This window comes from Homo sapiens, chromosome 10 (assembly GCF_000001405.40).
Source record: "Homo sapiens chromosome 10, GRCh38.p14 Primary Assembly".
NCBI classification, from domain to species: Eukaryota; Metazoa; Chordata; class Mammalia; order Primates; family Hominidae; genus Homo; species Homo sapiens.
The window spans coordinates 23,188,873-23,196,793 of NC_000010.11; the positions used below are offsets into that span (position 1 = coordinate 23,188,873).

At 55.0% G+C, this 7,921-nt stretch overlaps 1 protein-coding gene across 1 annotated transcript, besides 1 other annotated feature; it reads left to right on the forward strand.

Moving 5' to 3' along the window:
* On the forward strand, positions 3,440 to 5,373 carry PTF1A (pancreas associated transcription factor 1a). The gene is made up of 2 exons (NM_178161.3): positions 3,440 to 4,442; positions 4,832 to 5,373. Exons 1-2 carry the CDS (start codon positions 3,659 to 3,661, stop codon positions 5,032 to 5,034), a joined length of 987 nt encoding a protein of 328 aa, NP_835455.1. The 5' UTR covers positions 3,440 to 3,658; the 3' UTR covers positions 5,035 to 5,373.
* Positions 6,329 to 7,084: an enhancer, noted in NCBI's record as "H3K27ac-H3K4me1 hESC enhancer chr10:23484130-23484885 (GRCh37/hg19 assembly coordinates)". NCBI's record gives its function as "activates a minimal SCP1, AML or CMV promoter by ChIP-STARR-seq in naive H9 embryonic stem cells {active_cell/tissue: H9 hESC(naive)}" and the evidence as "EXISTENCE:reporter gene assay evidence [ECO:0000049][PMID:30033119]".

A 7,921-nucleotide genomic window follows, 5' to 3' on the forward strand; every position in this document is an offset into this window, starting at 1 on the left:
GCCCTGGCCAGAAGCTCTCCTGCAGCTGAGAACCTAGGAGATGGGACAAGACCTACTAGCAGCCGGAAGGAAGCCTGGGAATCTGCCAGGCCCAAGGCAACAGGGTGGCACTGAGCCTGTGCTGAAAGACTTGAAAAAGTCTTGAGGTCTCACCAGGGATTGGGTCTAGAAAGAACCAAGTGCTCCTTCTGCTGCCCCCCACCGGGGATGAGATACGACTCTATAATGAGGCAGAGCTCTTTACAAGGTGAGGGTGTGGTGAGAAGCCTGAGTTCGCTCACGCTCTCTCTCTCTGTCTCTCTCCCTCTCTCTCTCTCTCTCTCTCTCTCTGAGACTCCTGGAGCCTTGTGACCAAGCCCCTCTCCAGGCTCCCCAACTGCCCAGAGGATCCAGGGGTGTGGAAGGCATGACTGGAATGAGAGCGGGGTGGGGTGGGGGCTCTAGCCTGGCAAGGTAAGGTTCAGTCTTCTCATCCAACCTGTTGCTTCCAGTGGCAGAGGGCAGCCATCCACATGGTTGTGACCCCTAGTGACCCAGAGAAAATTTCCTTTATTAGCGGAGAAGTCTTTCTTCTTTTTATAAGAGAAAAGAATGATCATGTCTTACTTAAAGCCTGTGTGTGTGTGTGTGTGTGTGTGTGTGTGTGACACAGTGTCACTGTCTGTAGGCCTTGTCCTAGATTCTCAACAAGGCCAGTATGCACACAGCTAGCAATTCTTTAAAAACTTCGAGGGCAGTGGAGGGAGGAGGAGGAGGAGGAAGGGTAGGAAGGGCTATGTCTGAAACAAGTGAGTACGTTTTCTGTTCCTCCTATCCCATGCTCATTCATGCACCCCTAGGAGCCACCCAGAGCCTGCAGGCTAGTTCTGCCCCCTTCATAAGACAATAAGCTTGCTAGCAGCAATGAATTTCCCATGAGCTCACTGGGTGCTCAACGTGAATTTCTCTGTAACTCTTCTGCAAACTCATCAAAAATGTCAGATGATTTTCTGTGGAAGTGGATTGCTAAAATCATATTGAATAAAAAGATACCCATATATAGCCGGGCACGGTGGCTCATTCCTGTAATCCCAGCACTTTGGGAGGCCAAGGTGGGTGGATCACTCGAGGTCAGGAGTTCCAGACCAGCCTGGCCAACGTGGTGAAACCCTGTTTCTACTAAAAATACAAAAATTAGCCAGGCGTAGTGGCGGGCACCTGTAATCCCAGCTACTCGGGAGGCCAAGGCAGGAGAATCGCTTGAACCTGAGGGGTGGAGGTTGCCATGAGCTGAGATCGTGCCACTGCACTACAGCTTGGGCGACAGAGCAAGACTTTATCCCCCAACCCCCACCCTCCCCCCAAAAAAAGAAAAAAAAAGATACCCATATATTCACACTCACTCCCCTGTCTCCCAGTCCTCCACCTACCCACATGTCTATGACACACAGTTTCTCAAGAGCCACCAGTCTAGAGAGCCACCAGAGAAAGCCTTTCAGCCTCTTGAAAAGAGACTTTGTAGGCTCAATTCTAGTCTTCTCTGCAGTGGATAGTTGTCAATATTTCCGATAAGGCTTTGAAGCTGGGTAATTTGCTACTCTTGCATGTCTTCACATTGACCCACGGGCACGGGCATGTTTCCACTTAGTTTTAGTCTACGTGAGGAAGGGGAGGGTGCACATCACTAGCTGGCTAGATCTCTGGCCTTGATACACACACACACACACACACACACACACACACACACACACCCCTTCCCTTCCTTTGAGGTCAGAAAGAGAAATCTAATTGCAGAGAATCACAGCTCAGGCTCTATCACCGGGAAACTGTCCATATTTGCCTTTAAGGATATGCAAATAGTGAACGACTCCTTCACTGTGAAGGCTGAGAAACTAACACAGGAAAAAACTACTGAAAACCAGTCAGTCCTTGGGTTAAAATTGTTTGGGGTTGTTGGCAGTTCAAGGTAAGGCAATCTCTGGCCTTCTAACCTTATATATCTTTTGGTTTAACTCTTTGTTCTCAATTCAGTTAATTACAGTGCAATGTCTAAAACCAAGAAGCGTATTTAAATCACTAATCTGAAGAGGCATGACTTGGAATTTGAGAGGCGTCTGAATACCCAACAGAAGCCTCTAGTGAGACAAGTGCCTGAAAAAGGAAGCGGCCCAGGAGGACGACTCCTTTCAGTCCTCTGTAGAGAGAATACGCACGATGGCTGCGCTTCTGAACTCTCCCGGGGTGGAAGCTGCAGCCTGGCTTTTAACCGGAATTGCCCAGACCTTGAAAGTGTTTCTTTGTTGCTCTTAAAAAGAGGAATTCACGTTGCATCGCAGTCTGTGATAAAGTCTGTCTTGGGGCAGAGCTGCATACGTTTTGTGTTTTTTTTTTTTTTCAGAAAAGAAAGGTCGAGAAAGAAAAAAACAAGTCATTCAGGGATGGTCCCTGTGGCCAGTCGGAAAGGTGAGAGACTCGGGCTTTGAAAACGATTCACATTCTGCCCTTTAACTTCAATGCCTTCCCTCCGGACTGCGCCGGAGCAGACGATTCAATGGACTCCTTTTGTATCCAGTTTATTGCTCAGAATCCCTAGGGTCTAGATTTGCTCTCAGAAGAAACGCGCCCCGCTGAGCTGCTCTGGGGGCTGCCCCTCCCGTCTCCCCATTCCTTTCTCCGGGCCGGGGAGGGCAGGGGAGGCAGCCACTGAGCCGATGTCGCTGGGGACCCGCACCAGGCACCACAGCCAGGCTCCAGAGCGGAGTCCCATAGGTGCGCTCCCAGCCCCCGTGTTGCGTCTGGAACGCAGTGGGAGTGGGCCCGGATCACCTTCCAATGACACCCGCATATACTCTGCAAACTGTGCAAAAGCCCTTGAAAAGTCCAGAGATGGGACAGAAGCCCCCAGCAGAACCCAGGCCGGAGCCCCGCGCACCTCGGATAAGGGGGTGGCGGAATGCACCCACCTGGTCCCTGAGGGCAGCACCCTTAGATTGCCCAGGCTGCCGCGGAGGAGGACGATCGCCGCGCGGGCTCCGCTCTCGCCGTCTGGGCCACCGGCGCGCACCCCTAGGAACTTCTCTGGCCGCGTGTAGACGCGGCGCGCGGCTGCCCCAGTCCCAGGGCGGAAGGAGCCGGCGCTGCTCAGCGCGCGCGGGTACGCAGCGGGCACCGCGGGACGCAGGTGCCCCTGGAGCCGCACGCGGGGCAGGTACAGAATCCAGTATGCAGAGGCAGAGGAGAGGGAAGAGAGCGGTGCGAGGAGCCCCGGGCCGCGCGACCCCGCCTTTTCCTCGCCCCAGGAGCTCCCAAAGGGAGCAAAACGCCCCCCACCCCCGCCCACCGCCGCGCCTCCGGGCCCCCTCGCCGCCGGCACACCGCGCTCTGATTGGCTGGCGCGATGGGTCCCTGGCACGCGCCTATGGATGTTGTTATAAGAATCCTCGCGTGCCGGCCCTCAGCTCCAGGAAGTCCGCCACAGCCCTCCCCAGCGCAGCGCGAGCGCGGGCCAGAGCGCAGCGGCCGCGGGCACTCCAGGGAGGCCCGGGGGCGGGCAGCCCGGCGGCCGCCTAGCTGCCCCCAGCCAGGGCCCCGGGAGGGAGGGGCTCGGACGGGCCTTAGAAACTCACCAAGAACTAACACGCGCAGCCCGGCAGTCCCGCTGCCCACTGCGGCGGCGAGCATGGACGCGGTGTTGCTGGAGCACTTCCCCGGGGGCCTAGACGCCTTTCCTTCTTCGTACTTCGACGAGGACGACTTCTTCACCGACCAGTCTTCACGGGACCCCCTGGAGGACGGCGATGAGCTGCTGGCGGACGAGCAGGCCGAGGTGGAGTTCCTTAGCCACCAGCTCCACGAGTACTGCTACCGCGACGGGGCGTGCCTGCTGCTGCAGCCCGCGCCCCCGGCCGCCCCGCTAGCGCTCGCCCCGCCGTCCTCGGGGGGCCTCGGTGAGCCAGACGACGGCGGCGGCGGCGGCTACTGCTGCGAGACGGGGGCGCCCCCAGGCGGCTTCCCCTACTCGCCCGGCTCGCCGCCCTCGTGCCTGGCCTACCCGTGCGCCGGGGCGGCAGTACTGTCTCCCGGGGCGCGGCTGCGCGGCCTGAGCGGAGCGGCGGCTGCGGCGGCGCGGCGCCGGCGGCGGGTGCGCTCCGAGGCGGAGCTGCAGCAGCTGCGGCAGGCGGCCAACGTGCGCGAGCGGCGGCGCATGCAGTCCATCAACGACGCCTTCGAGGGGCTGCGCTCGCACATCCCCACGCTGCCCTACGAGAAGCGCCTCTCCAAGGTGGACACGCTGCGCCTGGCCATCGGCTACATCAACTTCCTCAGCGAGCTCGTGCAGGCCGACCTGCCCTTGCGCGGCGGTGGCGCGGGCGGCTGCGGGGGGCCGGGCGGCGGCGGGCGCCTGGGCGGGGACAGCCCGGGCAGCCAGGCCCAGAAGGTCATCATCTGCCATCGGGGCACCCGTAAGTGCTTCCGCTTCCCAGCTCAGGGAGAAGGGGTCGGGCACTCGAAGGCTCCGGAGGGGCTGGGGGAGCTGACTGCCAAGCAGACAGTCGGACCGACGGATTGTCGGTGGGCACGGAAAAACTTGAATGCGAGCTCGCGTTTCTCGTTTTTTTTTTTTTTTTTATTTTTCTGCCACGTTGACCGCGGCTCTCAAGGGCGCGCGTCCCCGCCAGACTTGCAGCTCCTCGGATTCCTGGGAGGGGACGGTGGGGACTTGAAGTGTGGAGGAAGAGGGTGGTTCTAGTATAACCGGAGAGCACCCAGGAAAGGGTCCTAAAGGACCTGATGGGACCAATGGGAATGTGGTTGGATATTCACAGTCTGTTTTCTCTTCTCACCTGTCCAGGGTCCCCCTCCCCCAGCGACCCTGATTATGGCCTCCCTCCCCTAGCAGGACACTCTCTCTCATGGACTGATGAAAAACAACTCAAGGAACAAAATATTATCCGAACAGCCAAAGTCTGGACCCCAGAGGACCCCAGAAAACTCAACAGCAAATCTTCCTTCAACAACATAGAAAACGAACCACCATTTGAGTTTGTGTCCTGAGAAGTCCCAGACTCGGCTGAAGATCTGATTATGTCTCTGTGCATATTGTACATGTAAATATCTATAATGTAAATGTAATTTAAGAATCAAATTTTTCGAATGGCAATCAACTGTTTATTATTTATCTATTTATTATCCTGTTGAGTTGATGAAATAGATGATTTCTTTTTAAATATATAATTTATATAACTTATCCTGATTTTCTGAAAATATGCAATAGCCTATGATTTTCCTGAACTCTGTGTTGTTGGGAGAACTCTGGCCAGAAAACGTCCTGCTTATTTATTGCCAGATATGGTTTATTTCTAAGCGTTGTCAATAAATGCTATTTACACCTTTTCCTGAAGGTTTTTGAGTACATGATTTGATAGATACTCTTTAAAAAGAATTAACTTAGTAAAAATTAACCAAACCAGAGACTCAAAGTGTAGCTTTTTAGTAAGAAACTACATTTCAGACTTAGCCTAAAGGTGGGTAGGTTAGAGGATTAGACCTCAACTTTCTATGACAGCACTTCATCTAGGTCGCCTGCCCTACACAGCAACTTTTGTCTGTATTTTGGGCCACCTTCCAAACACCCTATGCAAATACATCCTGGAGTATTTATTGTTCCCATTTTGCAGATGGTAAAGTTAAGGCTCAGAGATGACATTTGACTTACCCAAGGTCACCCCTACGTTGTCTATTCCTGGTGTATAAAAGTGAGCGCGCGGTGCACTGTGGGAGCAGGGAGCTAGTGGGCTAAGCGAATGGGCCTTTCTGCTTCCACTGGCTGGGAAAGGGGCTACTCTTGAGCTGCCCTGTGACCAACCTCTTCGGCAGCAACAGCATCAGGTACCTGGAACTCAGGCTTACTCCTCACAAAGGAGATGGGACAGGCTACGGTGCCAAAGCCTAGAGACCACTCGGAGGCCACTCAACAAAATCCAGGGTCTTTTAGGTAAGGTAGGAAGAAGCCGCCCGCTACCCCTGCCACCTTCGCAACAGGCTTACTTCCAAAACTGAGTTCGTTTTGCCTTCATCAGAACTTGGCCCTCCTCGGCCAGCAACCTGGGGAGAAGGCGAGCCTGAGGCGGGGGGCGTAGGGTAGCCCCCTAGCGAAGGGGAGAAGAGCGAGGGCGCGGCCGAGGTCGCTTAGCCAGAAAGCCTGGGAGTCCAGGCTTGGGTTTGTCTCCTTTGTGGCCAAGAGCGCCTCCCGGGCTCTCGGGGCGTCCTCCCCTGCCCGCCAGAGCCGGGGCGCCGGCACTGGGCCCTGAGGCCTGGCGCGCGCGCAGATGGCGTTGGCGCGAGCGCGGACTGGAGACGCGCTCATTGACGTGGCACCGTAGCCCCGTGCGGCGCAGGCCTGGCCCAGGCGGGGTGTGGTTCCGTGGGCCGCAGCGGCCTGGTGGGCGAAGGTACAATTGCGGATAGCCTCTAATACTCACGGCCCTGCCGCAGGACAATATGTTGGCAGCATGCTAATTGCTTTAACCTAGTTTCAGACCCACCGAGGGGTTCCCCGCGCGCCGCGGGTGCCATGGACCTCGTCCAAGAGCAATTAAAGCGAGGCCGCGAGCCCGACCCCGCAGCGCGGCCTGGCCAGACACGCGGAGATTCTGGGTCGCAAGGCTCCCGGGAGCCCCTTGGCCGTGGACCCTCTCACCCCTTTTAAGCCTTCGCGCCCTCTCCCTCCACTCCTCCTAAAAGAAGATTTCACACTGGAGACAGAATTTCAGAACGAGAGAAAATAATTCGATTTTGTCCTTTATTAGGGCCTCATTAAACACGAAAGTTGCTTTTGCACAAATGCTTCCATCAGGCATGTAATCTCATTACACTCATTAGAAAGTCAAATGTTTGGCCGACTTCAACTTAATTATAAGTTATGGAAGTATTGTACCGTTTTCTTCGGCTGTGTAGACCTGCGTTTCTGTTGGATTGGGCAGTGTGGCACTCGCAGTTAAAACACTGCAATCATTGTGATGTGGCACCTTTTATTTTGCGTGCCACTTTTTTTTGCGATTCAATGCCTCAACACAACCTTTAGTGCGGTGCAGATGAAGCGGAAGAACCGAGCTGAGCATGCAAAACACCAGGGTCTCTATCTTGTCACTCTCTGTCCTGACTTGGCAAGTCCCTTTAAGCACAACCTTCAAAGAGACTGACAGCTTCTTTTTATTTACTCATAATCCATTCATTCTAGTGTAGCAATTCTTTTTTTTAAAAAAAATGCAGCAGTAAAGGCAGAACAAACGTATCATTTCAGAGTCTTCTTTGGCGTCAGGGAGGCCCGAGCTGCGCTGGGTGCAGGGGCTGCTCTCCTTGTGGCAGAGCCAGGCTGGGGAGCCTCTGGCCCTGGGCATCTCTGGCCGGCAAACACGGCCTGGCACTGGAAGGATCATGTGAGGGCAGTTTGAGTGACAGGTATTCAATGGTCCTTCTAAGTCCACACTTCTCGTCCAACTTTTAAAAAAGATGCATATGAAGATAATTGAGTAAGCCAAACTCCTGGATGGCTATGGAGAATCTTTGCCCAGCCCGGCCCTTCTGAACACCCATCATCCCCTGCACTGAAACCCAGCCTGGGACCACCAGGGGAAAGAGTTTAAAGTCTGCCCTGGCTGCCCTTGTCCATTTAGCATAATAAAGAAGCTGCAAGCCCAGTACAGGCTGAATTTTATGATCTCTATTGGAGAGCTGGTTAAATCATTCTCCACTGGTCCAGACTCCACTGCTAGCCATGGTCGGGGGAGGGAGCCCTGGAGTGGGCTTGATAAAGTCTTTGGAGAACAGAGGTGGCCTGGGGTGCTGCCTCTTCCTCTCCCCCAACATCTCACCCCCTCCTGCCAAACACACATCCTCAATTCTAGCCCATCTTGCTGGTCTCCATCCCAGGTTGCTGTAT

Bases quoted from the DNA above. Each gene is read 5' to 3' on its own strand.
- PTF1A (NM_178161.3), top strand. From the start codon at position 3,659: ATGGACGCGGTGTTGCTGGAGCACTTCCCCGGGGGCCTAGACGCCTTT. The intron at 4,443-4,831 runs GTAAGTGCTTCC...TCACCTGTCCAG, and splicing joins CATCTGCCATCGGGGCACCC to GGTCCCCCTCCCCCAGCGAC.